The sequence below is a fragment of the Homo sapiens genome, chromosome 2 (genome assembly GCF_000001405.40).
Source record: "Homo sapiens chromosome 2, GRCh38.p14 Primary Assembly".
In the NCBI taxonomy this organism is placed as follows: domain Eukaryota; kingdom Metazoa; phylum Chordata; class Mammalia; order Primates; family Hominidae; genus Homo; species Homo sapiens.
Genome location: NC_000002.12, coordinates 190,337,373 through 190,358,594, shown reverse-complemented (window position 1 = coordinate 190,358,594; position 21,222 = coordinate 190,337,373). Strand labels below are relative to the sequence as shown.

General features: G+C 40.4%; 2 protein-coding genes across 9 annotated transcripts in view, besides 2 other annotated features; one reads left to right on the top strand and one right to left on the bottom strand.

The window, feature by feature from the left end:
• Nucleotides 1-15,006, bottom strand: part of INPP1 (inositol polyphosphate-1-phosphatase) — a 28,077-nt gene extending 13,071 nt beyond the window's left edge. For 2 of the 8 annotated variants that reach the window (XM_024452875.2, NM_001128928.2), the window contains exons 1-2: nt 14,634-15,006; nt 9,564-9,707 (exon numbers count right to left, since the gene is read on the bottom strand). The gene's annotated coding sequence lies outside the window, so the exon portion shown is untranslated. Of the gene's footprint in view, nt 1-9,563; nt 9,708-14,516 lie in introns of all 8 variants that reach the window. The other 6 variants (XM_047444194.1, NM_002194.4, XM_047444192.1 and 3 more) reach the window with 5 other exon arrangements.
• Nucleotides 13,546-20,339, top strand: LOC124906109 (serine/arginine repetitive matrix protein 1). The gene has a single exon (XM_047446773.1). The coding sequence runs from the start codon at nt 14,279-14,281 to the stop codon at nt 15,155-15,157; it is 879 nt and encodes a 292-aa protein (XP_047302729.1). The 5' UTR covers nt 13,546-14,278; the 3' UTR covers nt 15,158-20,339.
• Nucleotides 14,311-14,640: a silencer, noted in NCBI's record as "silent region_12177". NCBI's record gives its function as "represses an Ori minimal core promoter by ATAC-STARR-seq in GM12878 lymphoblastoid cells {active_cell/tissue: GM12878}" and the evidence as "EXISTENCE:reporter gene assay evidence [ECO:0000049][PMID:35858748]".
• Nucleotides 14,711-15,020: a silencer, noted in NCBI's record as "silent region_12176". NCBI's record gives its function as "represses an Ori minimal core promoter by ATAC-STARR-seq in GM12878 lymphoblastoid cells {active_cell/tissue: GM12878}" and the evidence as "EXISTENCE:reporter gene assay evidence [ECO:0000049][PMID:35858748]".
• Nucleotides 20,340-21,222: the final 883 nt, after the last annotated feature.

Sequence of the window (21,222 nt, the reverse complement as noted above, 5' to 3'; positions counted from 1 at the left end):
GCATTGCTCCTGCACACAAGCCCAGGCTATTTATTATCATAATACAGTTTCCTTCATTAAAAGAAATTCCCTTAATAGGCCAGGTATGGTGGCTCACGCCTGTAATCCCAGCATTTTGGAAGGCCGAGGCAGGCGGATCACTTGAGGTCAGGAGTTCAGGACCAGCCTGGCTAACATGGTGAAACCCCATCTCTACTAAAAATATAAAAATTAGCCGGGACTGGGCGCAGTGGCTCATGCCTGTAATCCCAGCACTTTGGGAGGCCAAGGCGCATGGATCACCTGAGGTCAGGAGTTCAAAACCAGCCTGGCCAACATGGTGAATCTCTACTAAAAAAAAATACAAAAATTAGCCAGACGTGGTGCTCCACGCCTGTAGTCTCAGCTACTCGGGAGACTGAGGAACAGAATCACTTGAACCTGGGAGGCGGAGGTTGCAGTGAGCCGAGATTACGCCACTGCACTCCAGCCTGGGTGACAGAGCAAGACTCTGTCTCAAAAAAAAAAAAAAAAAAAAAAAAATTCCCTTAATGGACTCTGGGAGGCTGAGAATTAGTACAACTCTGAAGACATAGATGCAATGGGAGTAAGATGTAATTTGTAATAGTTGATCTTAAACAATTTTGCTAAAAAATATGTTCTCTCCTTAAGATTATAGGTCAACCACTATGAGAAAATATGTCTAGTCTCAGTAGTAATAAAAGAAAAGGGCATACAAGCAACGAGACATCCTCTTTGACTATTGTATATGTTTTAAAGTTTACATTCCCTCTTGGAGATGTGGTGAAACAGATGCTCTGCTAATGGGCACGCAAACAAGTTAGGTTTCCAGAGGGCAATTTGACAAAAATGTGTCAAGATCCCTGCAGATGTCACTGCCTTTAGTCAGTAACTCCAGTTTTCCCTCAATCTGTGTTAAGGCAATCAGAGTTGAGTTAAAATATTTCTGCACAAGGAGGATTAATATTACAACAAGTTGAAAATAATCTGAAATATTGGTAAAACAAAATACTATACAGTTGGTAAAATCATGTTTTTGAAGAATATTTAATAATATGGAAATATGTCAATGCACTAATGTTAAGTGGAAAAACTACCTATGACCATATATAATTTGAGAGTATGTTATCCATTTGTGTTTATACACATACACAGAGAGAAAGAGCTTGAAAGGAAGATTAGTAGGTGATGTTTTAATGGTAGTTATAACTGAGTAATGGAATTATGGATGATTTTTTATTATGCTTTTCTATAATTTTCAAATACTCTACAGGAAATATACAGTGCTTTTATAATAATAAATTACATTTTTAAATGTCTTGGGGAATTAAGTATGAAGGTATAAGAATGTCTCAGCCCCTCGAGGCAAATGTCTAAATAAAATGAGACTGCGGTAATAATGCAAAAAGCTTTCAGGTGATAGAAAAGATCTAGTGAAAACTCAAACAAAAGCACCTGCCTACTTAAATGCCTTTTATTTCAGGAATGAATGCTATGTAGGAAGATTTACTTTAGTTGACTTGAATCTAAACATTAGGAAAAACAGCTGCGTTAATAAAGCTGCGGCACGTTGCCTTAGAAATAATTGATGGCATATATGACATATATATACCACAAATTATAACTTAAGTATAATATACAATCACAGATATGCATACATATCTCAGTATAATACATGGCCACAAAAGTATACATTCAGTAACCTTAATTTTTATTTCTTAGTAAATGTTCTGTGGTTATAAGGCAGAAGAATCAATGAATCAACAGTATCAAAATACCTCTTTACCTTAACAGTAGCGTGAAGATCTCAAGGAGTCCGATTTGAAAGCTTTCAAGATAAACAATATCAGCAGTGTTTCTTTTATTCAAGTGTTAAAATCAATTTTTTTTCTTAAAAGAAACGATACTAACTACACTGTTGAATAACCAAGAAACACTCCTTATAACACCCTAATAACACTCAGGCGAGCTAATCACCCTGGCTACAAGCTCCGGAAATCACCACCACTCCCTTCTTTCACGCAGAAAGCTCATCAATTTAACCCTGGTGAGTTTCAGCACAAATGCTGCAGTAATCTGGAATTTGTCCTCTTTGGGCCCAACCTTTATTTCCTCAATAATGACCACTCTCACCTGACCTGAGCAGTTGCTGCTTAGCGAGCACAGCAACTTGACCAATGGGAAAGAAGTACTGGCTATTCACTGCAGCCCTGTAATGAACAGGTCTACCGATTTTAGGAATTTCTCATAACACAATAATCAGGTTTTTCAGTTCCAAGGTTATCCCAGAGTTCACTCTTCGTTTTGGCCCTAGGCAACACTGTCATATTTTGTCAAGTTCCAGGTTGAACTGCCCAGTTTCAGATTGAAACCACTTTCACCAGCCATGCTAATGAGCCCAGCATTTGTTCAGCTACTTCCCTTTCTCCAAGGCCCTGGCTCTCCATGTATCCTCAACTCAGTTCACACAGGCAGGCCACAAACCTGAAGGAAGCATTGCACAATTCATCCTAACCTTGAATGGCTCAACTTGAAATAATTTGTCTATGGAGAAACTGAAGGCTACATCTAATGCAGAATTTATTCTTCCATTTTATCAATACATTTATTAAAACTCATGGAAATTATCTTTCAGATGATTTTTTAATTAATTTATTTATTTTTTCAACTTTTATTCTAAGTTCAGGGTTACATGTGCAGGTTTGTTATATAGCTAAACCCATGTCATGGGGTTTGTTGTACAGATTCTTTCATCACTAATGGGTACTAGGCTTGATAACTGCGTGATGAAGTAGATGATTTTTTAAAAAGTAAGTTTACATACTCATCATTCACCTAAGACCACTTTATTTCAACACTGTACTTTAAATAAAAATTATTATAGACTTATGATTAGTAAGTTATGGCATTTACCATAATTTAATAGCCTTGACTATAGAAGAAATTCCTTTTGATTAGTATTTCTCAATGGATGTTCTGAGAGTTACCTGTATCAGAATTACCCAAGATGGCCTTCTAAAAAAACAGATTGCTGGACTCTACCCCAGCTTAGTGAATCAGAATCTCTGGAGACAAGCCCTAGGAATCTGTATTTTTGTCAGCAACCTGTATAACTCTAAACACAGATTTAATAGCTCCAGTTCTCCAGGTTGCTTATTTTTCTTTACCTCTATGCTGGCAATTTTAGTGGCAGCTGGCACCTGCTGGCAGGTATCTTGGTGAAACAATGTAGGTACAATGGTTTTGCTATCTGTTATTCTTGTGCAGAGATAGGTTAAAATTGAAACAGCTAACATTTACTAGGTGCTTACTATATGCCAGGCATCCTTCTAGGCACCTTACATGTATTAACTCATTTAATTCTTATATAACCTTAGGAAGTAGGTACTATTATCTCCATTTTACAGATGAAGAACCTGAGGCACAAGGAGATTGTTTACTGAAAATCACAGAGCTAGGAAGTTGTGGGACAAGATTCAAACCTAGGCAAGCTGGCAGAAGCCCCCACTGTTGACCAGTACTCTAGCCAGTGAAATCTTTTCATCAATTGTTAACTATTAAAATAAGGGAAAATCAGTAATTGTTGGATAATAATCATAAGTACATTAGTATTATAAGGTACATTATATAGCAAAAAAAAAAAAAATGCACACACACACACACACACACCCCTAGTTGATATCTGTCACTAGGTTTGATCATTATACGTCACTATTTGACTTCCCTTTTACTCTCAGAAAAACCTTTTCTCCAGCTGATCTTCAGCCTCTGTTAAGGACCCTTCTGGGTAGTAAAAGCTCATCTATTAAGTTCCACTGATGTCTCCCTTAACTGTCATGGCATTGATGGCAGGGGGCATGCCCAATACCTAATTCTTCTGGTGTTAGTTTGTTAAGACTGGGTAGCTTAACAATAAAATCGCACTTTCTCACAGTTCTGGGGACTGGAAGTCCAAGAGCAAGGTGTCAGCAGGACTGGTTTCTCCTGAGGCTTTGCTCCTTGGCTCACAGACGGCCCCTCTCATTGTGGCCTCACCTGGCCTTTCCATCGTGGGCGTTAATCTCTGGCATGTCTCCCTTTTCTTACAAGGACGCCAGTCAGACTGGATAAGGATCCGCCTGTATGACCTCACATAAACTTTAAAGGTCCTATCTGCAAGTACAGTCCCATTCTGAGGTACTGGGGGTTGGGGCTTCAACATGTGAATTTTGAAGTAACATAATTTAGCCCCTAAAACCTCTCCTGAAAGACAGGCCGTGGTTACCTTAGCGACCCAATCTATTAGCTGACACAATCTATTCCTTTGTCTTTTGTTTTCTGGCCAAAAGTGAAAATGGGATAGTGTTTTCCTCCCCATTTATGTCGTCAATAAGAAACATCTGTGAGGCAGTCGTTCCCACTAAAAGCTATTCGCTTTAACAGCCAAGTAATTAATATTGCAGTGAGCACTGAACCTCTCATAAGCCTTGTTTTGTAACAATCTATTTCAAGTCACATTTCAGCAAAATGGGCTTAAAGAAGTTTCATTCCTTCCATCTCAAACCAAATGTACGTATCTATATGTTTAACATAAAATTGTGTCACAATGTCAGATAGAATTAGGGTCTCTTTTGCTTTTGTAGGATTGTCTAGTCCAGTTGGAGAGCTACTAAAGGAATTGAAGTATGTCAGAAGGAAAAAAGGTTCTTAAGACTTTTCTTGGAAACCCAAACCTCTCCACAAAGATAAATCTCAAATTTCCAGCCATTATCAGAACATCAGAGGTTTAAAAATCCTATCTGAATAATTTAGACATATTTCAGATGGGATAAACTATATAGTGGAAAATACACAGGCTTTTGAATCAGAAAGGCCTGGGTTCAAAACATAACTCTGCTACTAACTAGCTGTGTGGCATCAGGTATTTTCTTACCCTCTCTGAGACTCTCTCTTTACCTTTAATATAAAGATTAATAGTTACCTTGCAGTGATGTTGTGAAGATCAAATGAGATATTTCTGGAAAAATATCACAGAGCACAGAGCTTTACACATGGCAGATAATAAATGATAGCTATGACTCTGAAATACAACCTCACAGAAACCACAGTCACATGTCTTAACTTGAGAAAGTAAGAGGTTGGCAAGTTTATATGGGTCACTGAAACCTTTTCTTAAAACTTACTACTCCATTAAATCCAAAGCCTGGGAACTACTTGCAATTCTCTGAGTAACCCAAATAAAGTTCCTTTTTGTCGGCCAGATCTGATTGCTTCAGTTTCTGGGCATCTGGGTGGAAACCCTGGCTCCTAGAGGCTGAGACTACTCTGGCTTCATGGTAGACAGTCTATGACTGGCTTGGGAGAGCCATTTTTCTGTCAAGGGAGATATTTTGTGAGGATTCTAGGGCCCAGAGTGCTCCTTCTCATGTGAAGAGCCTGGTTGTAGCAGAAGCTGGCTGTGCCCTTTTGTTGTCCACAGTGACAGAAGGGTGATGACATAGATAAGGGCCTGCCACAAAACAGAACTGCTCTCTAATCAATAGGCAAGCGGGTCAAAGCACTTCTGTTGACATTTCCCTCTTCCGGCAGATAATTCAACACTTTACAGAGTACACATTTTTGCCCATTGCGCATTGACTCCACCCCACCCCCACGGTTCACATCCTGAATTCTGGCTCTCATCTTCTGAGGAATGGCAATTTGAAGCTATTGCGTGGTGGGCCTGCCTGACAGCTATTGCTGCTAGTGGAAAAGGCCAAGCTTCCGTGAAATATCTGGGTGTTTTACAAGAAGGTGTTTCTCATGACCTTTTCCAAGGGGGTACAGCTGTCCAGGAGTCTGTGTAGGTGGCCACATGATGGCAGTGGCCAAGGTTCTATTCAGATCACATTGCTGTTGTAGGGGAAACATAGACTTCGTCCCACCTCTCCTTTGCTCCATACTCAAGGGCTGCCTTGGGGAGTAGTTTTAAAGATTGGAGGTTGTTTGTGCAGAAGGGACAGGGGAATGGAAGTGGGCCCACACTAAATATGGAGGGGGGGCTCGCTGTGTTGTGTCACTTGCTAATGGTAGCCTCCCCTGAGATTCCTGTGAGGCCAGAGGGAAACTGTACTACAAGCCTTACTAGAGATTTGCAATACTGCCTTTTAGCTCATTGAAAACTAAATTGTTTTCCCAGTGTATAAGCCATGTTCAACTTTCAGATATTTGACTGTCAAACATTTCTCAGGATCCAATAAATATTACAGTTTGGGACTGCCTGTACTTCCTGGGTCTTATTTCATGTTGATCCGGGTGATGTTGCTGTCATTACCTCATGGGCTCTGATTAAGTTTAGCCTTTTAGTAGCTGATTTTGCACTATCCATTTGCTCTCCTGCTCTGGGAAGATTGTAAATTTGCACATGCTGCTCCCTCTGGTTGACACGCCCTTCTTCCTGCTTTCTCGACCTAATGCTCACTCACCTTCTCAGAATCAGTTCAAGGGCAAGAAGCTTGAATAGGCACTTCATACAGGAGGATATCCAAATGGCCAATAAACATACAGAAACACAGTCTACCATATTAGTCATCAGGAAGATGCAACTTAAAATCTCAACAGGGTGCCACTATGTATCCAATGGAATAGCTAAAATAAAAAAGACTGAAAATTTCAAGTTTTGCTAAGGGTATGGAGCAACAGAAACTCTTATGAACTGCGGGCATGAATGAAATTGGTATAATCATTTTGGAAAACTATTTGTAATTTGTTGACTATAAGTATAATCTATGATCCAGCAATTTAATTTCCCTTGTAGATATTTACCCAACAAAACTCATGCAGGTATGGATTAAAAGACACGTACTTGTGAGCAGCATTATTTGTAATAATCTAACATTGGTAATAACCCAAACAAGCATCAATAGTAAAATGGAATAAACTGCAGCATATTCATGTAATGAAATGCTATACAGCAGAGAAAATGAATGAATTGCGACAATAGGCAACAACATGGATGCATCTCACAAAAACATGCTGTCAAGTGAAAGAGGTCAGGCACAAAAGATATATGCTGTGCCATTTAATCAATTTAAAGTTCAAAAACAGGCAAAACCAACCTATAGCAACGTTGGAAGTCACAATGGTGGTGTCCTTGGAGAAGAAGGTGGGGTTACTGATGGCAGCTCTGGTAATGTTCTGGATATGAGTGATGGTTACACGAGTGGGTTGACTTTGTATCAATTTATTAGCTAACTGCTGAGATTCCTAATGTTTATGTGTATATTTCTAATTCACTAAAAAGGTTTGTTTTTTAAAAATGTATGTGCAAAAGGAGAATCATTTCAACTGTTGGCTCCTTCAGGAGACATTTCTGACTCCTCCTCCATCTTAGGCACCTGGGCCATGGGGGAATGGAGATGGGCCAAATCTCTATCCCAGCTTTCCAACACTCTATGCATTGGTTTACTTGTTTATGCTCTAACAAGAGATTTAAATGCATTTGCTGTCTTAGGACTCGTACTGCATAACTCAGAGGTGTTCAATAAATGTTGGCTGATGAATTTTCCCTTAGCTTTGTGAATACAGAATTCATCCTTGTCACACTGTTTATTGTACTTGGATTTTATCAGCATTAGACATACAGGCCCATATTTGTATAAAAGTCTACATATATTCTGTATTCATTTACAAGAACAAACCAAGGCTGTATCTGAATAACTAGCAACTGAACCACATTTTTGGAGCACCAAATCAGAATCTAAAATTATCCCCTTTCATCTAGAGGTGACCTATCTGTGACAAGATTAATTTAATTAAATCACTCAAAATAGTGAGTTTAATTTGGTTTTGTGAGAAAAGATATTAAATATGGTATATGTGAATCTTTTATTTAACCCTAACATTTCTCTCTCTTTCCTCCCTAACCTTCAAACTTCAATTCCATCTCAAATGATGATGACATACACATTACTCTAAGCTGGTCAGTCTACACTTGCTCTATTGTGAGCAAGTGTACCAATGGACCACATTAGCCTACATTTTTGCTCACTGAAGCTGCTCAAAGCAATAGGCTACAAAGATGTCCCTTGTTCTCAAATGCTGTTCTGATAGCTTGTATATGGAAGCCTGTGCTAAAGCTGTGTTTTCCAAATCAGCTAAGATCAAGAAGTAAGACACATTAAAAATAGAGACTTTTAGAAAGGGGAATGTCAGCTGATTTTTATCCAACAATTTAAGGAAACAACAGGTGCAACAGTCAGCTCTACACTCACTGGTTGCTTAAGAACAGAACAGGGAGCCTTGTTCCACTAAGAGTCAACTTATATTGCCTTTTTGTAAAGTAAATTAAATGCTCGGAAAAAAATAGTTGATCTACATAGTAAGTATTCTGTAGTAACGTAACAATTTTATAAAGGATGAATTTCGGATACTTCTCAGAACTCATCTGAAAATTGTGAAAAAGTATTCCATTTAGAAATACCTTAAAATTTGTCTGGGCATGGTGGCTCATGCCTATAATCCCAGGACTTTGGGAGGCTGAGGTGGGTGGATCACCTGAGGTCAGGAGTTCAAGGCCAGCCTGGCCAACATGGCAAAATCCCGTTTCTACTAAAAATACAAAAATTAGCCAGGCGTGGTGGCGCATGCCTGTAATCCCAACTACTCAGGAGGCTGAGGCAGGAGAATCACTTGAGCCTGGGAGGCAGAGGTTGCAGTGAACCAAGATCACACCACTGCACTCCAGCCTAGGTGACACGGTGAACTCTGTCTCAAAAACAAACAAACCGACAAAAACTTTAAAGTTTGATAGTGACCTTATTTTTTAAACTCCCTTTTCCATAGTTGGAAATATTTTCACTAAAGAGAAACTTTGTTCATTTAGATATTTTTTTTTCTGCTGTGTTCCAACTACAGTATATGCTTAAGTTTTTGTATGCTAAGAGATGTTTTTAGAACCCTGTTGCCACAAATGAAACCTGAAATCAGATAGTATACAAATAGAAGCAGATGCAATGTAACTATCTTAACTATCAGAAAGAATAAATTTTTTAAAAATACAAATTTGATGCAAAATTCAAGGCAGAAAAAAGGGTCAGATGTATGGTTTGAAGCAAGAATATTTTCCAATAGAATATTATTTATAATTTTGATCACTGCTAATCAGAATCTAGAATCTTACTAATTTATTTTTATTTTTCAGACAGGGTTTCGCTTCCATCACCCAGGCTAGAGTGCAATGGTACAGTATCAGCTCACTGCAACCTCCGCCTCCCAGGCTCTAGTGATTCTCCTGCTTCAACCTCCCAAGTGGCTGGGACTACAGGTGCATGCCACCACACCTGGCTAATTTTTGTATTTTTAGTAGAGATGGGTTTCACCATGTTGGCAAGGCTGGTCTCAAACTCCTGATCTCAGGTGATCTGCCCACCTCGGCCTCCCAAAGTGCTGGGATTACAGGCGTGAGCCACCACACCTAGCCTTAATCTTCAATCTATTTTGAATGTAACATTTTTCATTAATTAAGGAAGATTCCAAAGTCAATTTATCTTTCCTTTAGAACTCATGCCATACTAATTGGAGACACCAACTCCTTTAACACTTACTGTTTATTGTCTGGATGGGCCTGGATGGGCCTGCAGGGTGTGCGGTAGAAAGAGCCTTGCTTGGGATACAGGAGAGCTGGTTCTTAGGCTCTGTTTTGCCAATCAGGTATATAAACTCGGCCACATGATGTAAGCTCTGAAGGACTTGTTTTCCCCATTTTGTAAACATAAAAAAGGAAAAGAAAAGCAGGGGCAGAGAGGTTGGATTGGATGATTTCTATGATCTGTTCCAGTTCAAAACTTCTCTGTTTTTTATATCTACTTCTCATATAAATGAGATTGGGAAATATTATTCAGCCTTAAAAAGAAAGGAAATTCTGACACATGCTACAACATGGATGAAACTTGAAGACATTATGGCACATGAATAAGCCAGACTGAAAAAGACAAATACTCTATGATTCCACTTGTATGAGGTACTCAGAATGTCAAATTCGTGGAGACAGAAAGTAGGATGGTGGTTACTAGGGCTGGGAAGAGAGGGTAGAGTCATTGTTTAATGGGTATAGTTTTTGTGTGGGATGATGAAAAAATTCTGGACATGAACAGTGCTGATGGTTGCATAACAAAGTGAATGTACTTAATGCCACTGAGCTGTAATTTGAAAACGGTTAAAATGGTAAATTTGATATTAGATATCTTTTACCACAATTTTTTTAAAGTTAAAAAAAAACAAAAAATTACAGGTTCAAAGAAATGCACATTTCAAAAGCTTTTGATGTTTATCATCTACATAATAAGGGCATAATAAATATTTGTTGACTTATATTTTTAAAAAACAAGTGGGGGTAGCGATAGGAAAATTAGGTTTAAAGAAGGGCACTAGGCTATTTAAGTTGATTTCATACAGCAACCACACCGGTGTTTTGTTTTGTTTTGTTTTGTTTTGTTTTTGAGACAGAGTCTCGCTCTGTTGCCCAGGCTGCAGTGCAGTGGCACGATCTTGACTCACTGCAACCTCCGCCTCCCAGGTTCAAGCGATTCTCCTGCCTTAGCCCCCCTAGTAGCTGGGATTACAGGCACGCGCTACCACACCTAGCTAATTTTTGTATTTTTAGTAGAGACCAGGTTTCGCCATGTTGGCCAGGCTGGTCTCGAACTCCTGACCTCAGGTAATCCACCCGCCTTGGCCTCCCAAAGTGCTGGGATTACAGGCGTGAGCCACCATGCCCAGCCTCCATCCTCATTTTAAGAGTTGCTGATAATGAAAAATTATGGCATCAATTTAAGTTATGCTTTCCTTAAGCAATGTTAAAAGAACAATTTTCTTTGGTCACTTGAATTTAACTCCTTTGATATGAATTATTACTCTCATTTGCATTGAGCAAAGCCTACCACTGTCACTTTAGAGGAAAAGGGCAAGTTTAAATATCTATTGGTAAAGTTGGCAAATATTTAAATTAATTTAAACATGGATAATTTACTATATTTTAAATATTTAGTTGGTTAAAAATAAAAACAAATGAGCAAATAACACACACTCTCCATCCCCCCCCAAAAAAGGAGAAAGAAAAGCAATGTAAAGAGGAAGAAGGAAAAGGAAAATAAATTCTGACATTTTCCATTATGGTAACTCATCTTGTCAAATTATTTTATAGGTATTTAATATTCTATTTCTTTAATTTTTTTATATATAACTGACCAAGTTTTAGGGCCAAATAAATTTTTTTTTCTTTTTTGAATGGGGTTGAGAGTCATTTTTTAAAAAGCTACAAATAAGGAGCCAGGTGTGGTGGCTCACGCCTGTAATCCCAGCACTTTGGGAGGCCAAGGCGGGTGGATCACGAGGTCAGGAGATCGAGACCATCCTGGCTAACACTGTGAAACCCCATCTCTACTAAAAATACAAAAAATTAGCCTGGTGTGGTAGCGGGCACCTGTAATCCCAGCTACTCGGGAGGCTGAGGCAGGAGAATCGCTTGAACCTGGGAGGCAGAGGTTGCTGTGAGCCGAGATCACACCACTGCACTCTAGCCTGGGCAACAGAGTGAGGCTCTGTCTCAAAAAAAAAAAAAAAAAAAAAAGCTACTAATAAGGTATTCAAATTTGCATGCCTGTCTTGCCTATAATTATTTAATCAGGCACATGGAAGAGGTAACAAATAAATCTATAATATGAAAGAAATTAGGCTGGGTGCAGCAGCTCACACCTGTAGTCCCAGCATTTTGGGAGGCTGAGGCAGGAGGATGTCATGAGCCCAGGAGTTTGAGACCAACCTGGGCAACATAGTGGGACCCCATCTCTACAATTTTAAAAATTAGCTGGGATGGTGGCACGTGCCTGTAGTCCCAGACACTCGGGAGGCTGGGGTGGGAGGATTCCTTGAGCCTGAGAGGTGGAGACTGCATAAGCCATGATCACACCACTGTACTCCAGCCTGGATGACAGAGTGTGACCTTTTCTCAAGAAAAAAAGAAAAAAAAGAAAGAGAAATTATTAGGTACAATATTTTGCTGTGGATTACTAGTTACAGTAATCTGCATTAGTCATCCATTAATAAAATGCTCTTATCACATTCAAGAAATTGAATTAACATTACATACCACATAAAAAAGACTAAACATGCAAAAATATGTTTGCTAAATTTGATCAGCAGAAGCTTGACCAGAAAAAAATATAAAAGTTTCAGATTTCCTAAATGAGTGGCCTCATCATATTAATAAAATCAGTTTCCATATATGAACATTTTATGTACAGGAGTCCTAATAAGTTTTATCAACTATTCATTCCAACAATAGTCATTTCCCACCTGCATTTCCCAAACTCACCTTTTTTGTTGTTGTTGACTATTTTAAAATTTTATCATTTTTGTCTATTTGAAATATCTCCTTTCTCTTAGAAATTCTGATCCAGGAAGTCTCAAGTTGCAATCTGGGAATCTTTTAAACCACTATTATACTCTACCCACTCCCCGACTTGCCTACTACCCTGAGGAATTTTACAATCAGACAAGTTTGAGAAACAGTACCCAACATCAATCACAGGAGACGGGAAGCAGAACTTTTATTTTTTTAATTTTAACTTAATTTTTATTTTTTGAGATGAAGTCTTGCTTTGTCGCCCAGGCTGGAGTGCAGTGGCGCGATCTGGGCTCACTGCAACCTCTGATTCCTAGGTTCCAGGGATCCTCCAGCCTCAGCCTCCTGAATAGCTGGGACTACAGGTGCTTGCTACCACGCCTGGCTAATTTTTGTATTTTTACTAGAGACGGGGTTTCACCATGTTGGCCAGGCTGGTCTCGAACTCCTAACCTCAAGTGATCCACCTGCCTTGGCCTCCCAAAGTGCAGGGATAACAGGCGTGAGCCACCACGCCAGCCAGAGCCTTTATTTCTAAGCTCTCAGCCAAACACATTAACATAGTTTTATTAACTTCATTACAAGATTCAAAGTATTTTAACAAGAACATTCATAAGGACTCACATCGGGAAAAAGTGCTTATATACACCATCCTCACCTTTAAAAAATGAAGATGACGTTTGTTTTCATTGATCACTTTATATAACATAATTATCTTTTAAGCAATTTCTGTATAACATGAAATAGAATGAGACATTTTCTAACTGTTATTAGAGACAGAATTAAAAAGCAAAATAAATATATAATAACCTTTATAACTTTTGTCTCACAGGCCTTCTATGTCAAACAAGAAATTATCTTTTCATTTTTTTCAGGACTATAACAAGGAAAGCTATAATTTAAATCTATAATAAGGTATATCATTTTAAAGGGCATTAGTCAAAGCTGCAATTTCCAAGCAAGCGGTGGTTTAGTCCAAAAGCTTGAAAAGTGGTAGCTTATTCTACACAAAAAGTACAGTGTAACTCTATGTATTTGACATAATTCTCTTCATGACTAAGCTGACTTCAAAAGTAGTATAAAAATCCATAAAAACTTAAAAATAAAGTAGGCTCTACATAAGAATGGAAACAAATATCTGTATTGAAAAAATGAATTCTTCCATTGCCTTTATTTTTTCCCTTATGTTCTCTATTTTAAAAGGTAAGAATGAGATCACTTAGCTAATTCACCAATCAAGAGTAGTTCAGTGGATTACTTTCATCCTTATACTATTATCAAGTTGAGCAGGGCTGATCCTTATCAACTTTTCTGGCTTCAAAGCTAGGAATCAGTGTAAAAGGGCTAAAAAATCTTTTACTCAACAGATGGGATCCACTTAAGTGGTCTGTCCATACTTTTAACCCACTGTTCTTTTGAAGTGAACACCATCATACAGTGGGCAAACTTCTGCTTATTCAACACTTTAAAAATACCTTTAAAATGAGAAATCTCCAAAAAACAAGCCGTGGTTTCTTATAAGTGTTTTTCACAGATGTACTAAAGTAAGCGTTTCCTTTCACACTCTTTGCGCCTAACCGTCTACATGATAGGGCCAAACCCAGGTTAAATATTTTTTTCCAGCTACCACTCTGGACACACCAACTAATTATGCACACCTCACAAAACCACCTTTCAAAATGCAGAGAGAATTAACAGCAAGGAAGTAAAGATTTTTCTAAATATAGTCCCATCATATTTATTTCACACTCATCAAGTAGGTCACTGGAGGTAGCTGGCAGCTAGGGACACTCAGATGCATCTCTCAAAGCCAAGGCTGAGACCAAGGGGTCACTGACAGCTGCGCCATCTACCTGTTGCAGCTGGGCCACTGCTCTGGACAACTGTCAGATCAGCTTCTTCGTCCTACAAATACTAATGACTGGATTTTTAAAATCGTTGTTTGCCACCCTTTCTTCCCGCCCCCCAACCCCATCGGGCCGCTCGGGCAGGGCCAAGGGCGCCGCGGGACTCACGAGCTCCCCTCCGCGCTGGCTGCAGCGGCGATGCCGGGCATGCCTGGCCGGGCCCGGCCGGGGGCGGCCTCGCTGCCGGGGCAGGGACCTCGCAGGCCGGCGCGCAGAGGCGAGGAACCCTCCCGGCGCCATCGACTCACCTACCCGCGGAGAGGCGACGGCGCGCGCCGCTCACCAGCCCGGGCCCCAGATCCAAGGAGGAGGGGCAGCGGCGCGGGGACCCTGTGGTGGGTGTCGTAAGGAGGAAAACGTGTTACCTAAGCCGGGGATGAGGACAGAGCAGGAGGCAGCAGCCTTTCCCTCGAGAAACGGAAGCGGCGGGGAGCAGGAGGAGGAGGAGGCGCGGCCCGGGCGCGAGGTTAGGCGAGGGGCGCTGGGCGTGCGGCCGCAGGCGCGGCCAGAGGACGAGGGTTGGGGAGGACGGCGGAGGTCACGCGAGCGAAGGCGAAGCCCCGGCGACGCACGGCCCCGCTTGGCTCGGCACCGGATCCGAGCTTGGCCTCAGCCAGGCCGCCGCCCCCGGCTTTCCCGCGGGACCGCGGCGTGGAAACGCGCGCTGCCGCCTCGGGGCTCCCGGGACGCGCGGGCCCCCCACGCCTGCCCGAGCCGGGCGTCCGCGACGTCACAAGTGGAGCGCGATGATTCAGAGGGAGGGCCAGGAAGGGAAGGGCTCTGGGGTCAGCTTGGCCACGGCTGCTGTTTCCTTGTCGCCGCCCACGAATTCACTTTTAAATCTTCCTCCTCCATTCATCTGTACTCTCATAGGGGACTGCGGGTTTGACAGATGGGTTGGCAGCTGTGAAGATGGACTTCCTGCCAGTGGTATCCGGGTCCCACTGTTCTAATGGAAATGTCAGGTGTACTGGATGTTCCTCAAGACACAGCAGTGTCTCTGGGCCTTGCCTCTTAAGGAGTGGGCCTCGGGCCACCTGGACAGGAAGCGCATCAAGGGTGGGGAACTTATCTCTCTCCAGCCTTTGGTGCTGTGATACTCAGTGTACCTTAAGGATGGTTTGGGTTGAACCTAGGTAGGAATGGGTGTTGGTGGGCGGGGTGGGGGTGGGGGGAATAGAAACCTTAAAAGGGCAACACAAAGTTTTGAATAGAAGAGGCCAAGCAGCCTCGCCCAGAAGCTGATGTTTGTGAATGTACTGGGCCTTCTAAAGCGGCGCTTCACACACCTTTTCACTTCTTGGCACAGGTAGGAAAGGATGATATTACAAGGGTCAAAATGGGGGTAAACAGAAGAGGCTGCTCCTGCAGAAGGCTTCCTGCAGAAGCCCTTGCACTTGGAGGGCTGGGAAGACCCATGCTGTATCTGCATCCCTGTCATTCGTTTCACGGCATCCAGTTGGGAAGCTCTGCTTAAAGCTTTGTCTGGCACGTTTTCTTAGCTACATTTTTCCACTCCAGCTGAGACTGCCTCACTGAGTTGTCAACACTTGGTCTTCTTCAGCAGTGAGGAACCAACAAGACAGGAGGCTGGGTCAATACTCAACTTGGCAAACTCCAGGAAATGGTGCTTAAAACGTTTGGCTTCTTGAATGGAATTCATGGTACTGCTCCCAGCCTGCACCTGGGTTCTCCAACTTGAGACAATTTCTCCCCGCATCCCCCCACCCTTCCCTGGCTTTCACTCACTAGCAAGTGGGCTGCTTCTACTTTCTTTCTCACATTCATTTCTTAGGTCCATTCTCAGAGCGGTTAGGATTACTGTTTAATTAGCCTCATAATCATATCTATGATGGCAAAATCAAGAAACAATTTAAACATGATTCTTAAAAGTAAGGAGATAAATACCAGAGACATAGAAGGTGAAAGAATTTGCCTCTAGGAAGCAGGAATTTAAATTTGGGGAAGACAGGGTGGAGCAAGGGATATAAATCTAGTCCATTTTTCTTTTCTTTTCTTTTCTTTTTTTTTTATTTTTAAGATAGAGTCTCACTCTGTCGCCCAGGCTGGAGTGCAGTGGCATGATCTTGGCTCACTGCAACCTCTGCCTCCTTCGTTCAAGCGATTCTCCCACCTCAGCCTCCCTAGTAACTGGGATTACAAGTGACTGCCACTATGCCCAGCTAATTTTGTATTTTTAGTAGAGACGAGGTTTCACCATGTTGGCCAGGCTGGTCTCGAACTCCTGACCTCAGGGGATCCGCCCAGCTCAGCCTCCCAAAGTGCTAGGATTCCAGGCGTGAGCCACTGCACCTGGCGGAATCTAGTCCATTTTCCACTTTGCTACCACACATCTGCAGGGTTTCTTGCTTGCTTAAAAGCTTTCATTGGCTCCCAATCTCTGATAATATCAAGAGCAAGTTCCTGAACAACTCATTCAAGACCCATCACCCCTCGCATCTGTCAACTCTGCCCCTTGAATATTACACCTCATTTTACTACACCACATCTAGTTCCCTGAATATGCAAACAGATTTCATACATTTGCACCTTTATACATGTTATTGCTTTTGCCTGGGAGAGTATTCTCTTGCTGCTATAATAATAGCTAATGACACTGTGCTAAGTACTTTCTGTGATTTATAACTGTTAATTCTTACATCAACCCTATGGTAAATGTTACTGTTATCTCCATTTTATAAACAAGAAAACTAAGACTTAAAGAGTTTAAGTGATTTGCAGAAATATGTAGTATTTGGTGAGGCTAAATTTGAACCCAGCAATCTGACTCCAGGACTAACATAATATTACCTATTCATCCTTCTAAAATGTTTCCCAGACACTAAATTTGAACAGGATTAAAAGATTTAAATGTTTTTAAGTCTTAAAAGGGCAAGGAGAAAATACAAGTGAATTGCTTTTAATCTCAAACTAAGCATGAAACAACGGCTGAAATTACAAAGGAAAAGTGACAGATCTGACTGTTGAACTTTTAACTTCTTTTATCCAAAAAAAAACCCCATAGAATAAAATTTAAAAACAAGTAAAAATTACAAAAAATTTGCAATATACATGACAGATAAGCATAACATTAAAGAGAACTTAGAAAGAAAAAATAGCCTACTAAAAATGAGCAAAATGCAAATTCGTCATCATGAGAGAAAAATGTAAATGGCCAAACATTTTTAAGAGAAGTAAAAACTTAAAACGATAATGCACCATCAAATTGAGAATAAAATAATACTCAGAGCTAGTAATTTGGGCCAGTGACCCTTGGAGTAGGATGTATAGCAACTAAAGAAACTCATACATTACTGAGAAGGGTGTAAATTGGCTCAACGATTCTGGAGAGCAATTTGACAGAATGTAGTGAAAGCGTCAAAAATGTTCACACACTTTGACTTAAAAATTACATTCCTGGAAATTTATAATACAAACATTTTCTATAAAAGGTCAGATGGCAAATACTTTGGGCTTTGAAGGCCACATATGTCTCTGTGGCTTTTCTTTTGTGTGTGTGTTTAAAAAAAAAAAAAACTGCCCCCCCTCCCCCCACCCTTGTTAGGCCATTCTTGCATTACTATAAAGAAATACCTGAGGCTGGTTAATTTATATGAAAAGAGGTTTAACTGGCTCATGGTTCTGCAGGCTGTACAGGAAGCATAATGCCATCTGCTTCTGGGGGGGCCTCAGGAAGCTTCCAATCATGCTGGAAGGTGATGGGGAGCAGATGTCTCACATGGTGAGAACGGGAGCAAGAAGGAGTTGGGGGGGAGGAGCCACATAAACAATGAGATCCCTGTGAGCTCAGAGTGAGAGCACACTTATCACCAAGGAGATGGCCCAAGCTATTCATGAGGGATCCGCCCCTATGATCCAAACACCTCCCACCAGGCTCCACCTCCAACACTGGAGATTATATCTCAACATGAAATTTGAATGGGACATCCAAACTGTATCACCCCCAAAATGTAAAGTCTCATCACAGTACATTTGGTAATGGCCAAAAGAGAAACCAAACTAAATGTCCGAGAATAAAAATTAGTTACAACTAGATACACGGAGGCAAGTTTTTAAAAAGTGTTAAAATTTTAAAATGTTGCAGAATGGTATCTATTGGATAAAATAGTATTTATGATTTATTAAGTGGAAAATACAGTTTACAAAATAATATGGTGTGATCCCGAAAACAACATAATCATGTGTGTATAAATGCATAGAAAAAAATCTGGAAAGATATAAACAGATATTTATAGTGGTCTAGGGCAGGGGATGGAATTGTAGATATTTGCTTTTTGTTTTATGTATATGTTTCCCATAATGAAATGTATTGTTTATATAATTAAAAAATATACGAAACTTTGCTTGGGGGACAACAAAGCACCTCATTTGTTAATTTGGGAAAATCTTTTATTACAATCTCTGTAAGGAGTTGGTTGCTCTCTCTTCTGTACTCCCTGATTACATAATGCTCTTCTGAGCACTTTTATTTAATAGCAGAATGGTTGATATCATTATTTAGTTAAGGTTTCCTCTATTATCGAACATCTGAGTTCCCAGTACACTAGTCTCCCCTTATCTGTGGTTTTGCTTCCAAGGTTTCAGTTATGATCAACCAAGATCTGAAAATATTAAATGAAAAATTCCAGAAATAAAACAATTCATAAGTTTTACATTGTGCACCATCCTGCTGTATCCTGTCCAGGCCATGGGTCATCCCTCTTGTTCAGTGTGTCCACACTGTAGATGCTCCCCTGTCTGTTAGTCACTTTGTAGTTGGCTTGGTTGTCAGACCTACTGTCAAGGTATTGCAGTACTTATGTCCAAGTAACACTTATTTAACTTAATAATGGCCCCTAAACACAAGAGTAGTAATGTTGGCAATTTGGGTATGCCAAAGAAAAGTCATAAAGTGCTTCTTTTAAGTGAAAACCCAAAAGTTTTTGAATTAGTAAGGAAAGAAAAAAATCCATATGCTGAGGTCGCTAAGATCTATGATAAGAATGAATCTTCTACCTGTGAAATTGTGAAGGAAAAAGAAATTCACGTTAGTTTTGCTGTTGTACCTCAAACTGCAAAAGTTATGGCCACAGTGTATAACTTTTATTAAAATATATTTGTATAACTGTTCTTATTTTACTTTTCTGTTTTATTTTTAGAGACAGGGCTTCATTCTGTCACCCAGGCTGGAGTGCAAAGGTGCAATCATAGCTCACTGCAGCCTCAAACTCTTTGGCTCAAGTGATCTTCCTGCCTCAGCCTCCCAAGTAGCTGGGACTGCAGGTGTGCATCACTACGCCCAGCTAATTTTTTAATTTTTTGTGCAGATGGAGTCTGACTCTGTTGCCCAGGAACTCCTGGCCTCAAGTAATCCTCCCGCCTCGGTTTTCCAAAGAGCTGGGATTACAGGCATGAGCCACTGTGCCTGGCTATTCTATTTTATTAGCAGTAATTGTTGTTAATCTCTTATTGTGCCTTATTTATATTAATAACTTAATCATAGATAGATATGTATAGGAAAAAACATTGTATATAAAGGGTTCAGTACTATCTGCAGTTTCAGATATCCATGAGGGGTCTTGAAACGTATCCCCCACAGGTAAGGGGGGACTTGTATTTCTCTGTTATAAATATGCTGGTTATTCTCCACTTGTTGTGTTTTAGTGCCATCTTCTGCTCTTCTCTGCTAGACTCTGTGCCTCAGAAGGTGGAATTTTTCATAAACTATTCCAGCTGGGGTCTCATGCCAGTTGGTTTTGACCAATGGGTAACACCATCAGTAGATTGGAGGATGGAAAAGGAAAAAAGGTTAGGATATGTTTCACCACCTCTTTTCCTGCTTCTGGCTGGGTTCTGATGGTGGCTTTGTCCCTTGAAGGCTCCTCCTGCAAGGCAGCCCTGCTCCACTGTGCCAGCCTTCACTGGGCTCTACTAACGTGATTCCCTCCCCTTATTTCTTCAGGCCTAGCTGTGCTAACTCCTAGGTACCTCCATGTTTCTTGTTTCCTTTCATCCAACCCTAACCCTAACTTCTATAAATAGTTCCCGCAATAAAGTCTCTTCAGCTGAAACATCTGAGTGGAAATTGATTCCTGTTATGACAGACTAAATATACTAAAGGAAACAGTTGATCATCATAGAACACAAATCTTTTATCCTTACTGCAACAGGGCCTGGATATTTGCAGATTTTATATCCGAGCTTTGAACTATTTGCAAGGTAATTATAGAGTGATTTACACATTTCCTGAAACAGGGATTTAAGTTTATGCTGTGAGGCTAGTGTTTGGGAATATAACACTCTGACTATTCTCCACTTCTCCGGTAGTTTTTGAGAAGTAATGCTCCATTGCATTTTATTGAAGAAATTATATATACAGTACAGTGGTGTCCACATTTTGATGTTTTCAGTGGAATCTTTAAGAAAAAGTTCTTACATGTAATCTAACATACAAATTAGATAAATGTCAAATTGCTCTGGTTGAGGCAGCATTGGGGAAACCTTCTTCCTATCTTTGAAGCCGACTTTGGGATGCCTCTGCAGAACCCCAGGGCTCCTTGGAACACAGTGTGAAAACACAGATTTGGAAAATCCTAGAGTCTGGAAGATATACCCTTCCTAAGTATCAAGTGTCTGTTGTATCTCTTTAGGTTAGATTCCTAGAATTTCGGTTGACAATATGATTTTACCTATTCAAGACACTCCTCACTGTGAATGATGTGACCCATCTCATGACTGCATCTGTTACCACATGCGGAATGCCAAAAAACCTCTCCTGACTTCTCATCATACTTTTAATTGCATTTTCATTACTGATAAAATATTTTCCCACGTCTCTTGGCCATTGATACTTTCCCTTCTCCTCCAACACCTTCTACATTTTTTTAGTCATACTTTCATGTTTGACCATTTCTCAATTCATCAATACATAAGAATTCCTTGTATGATGTTCTG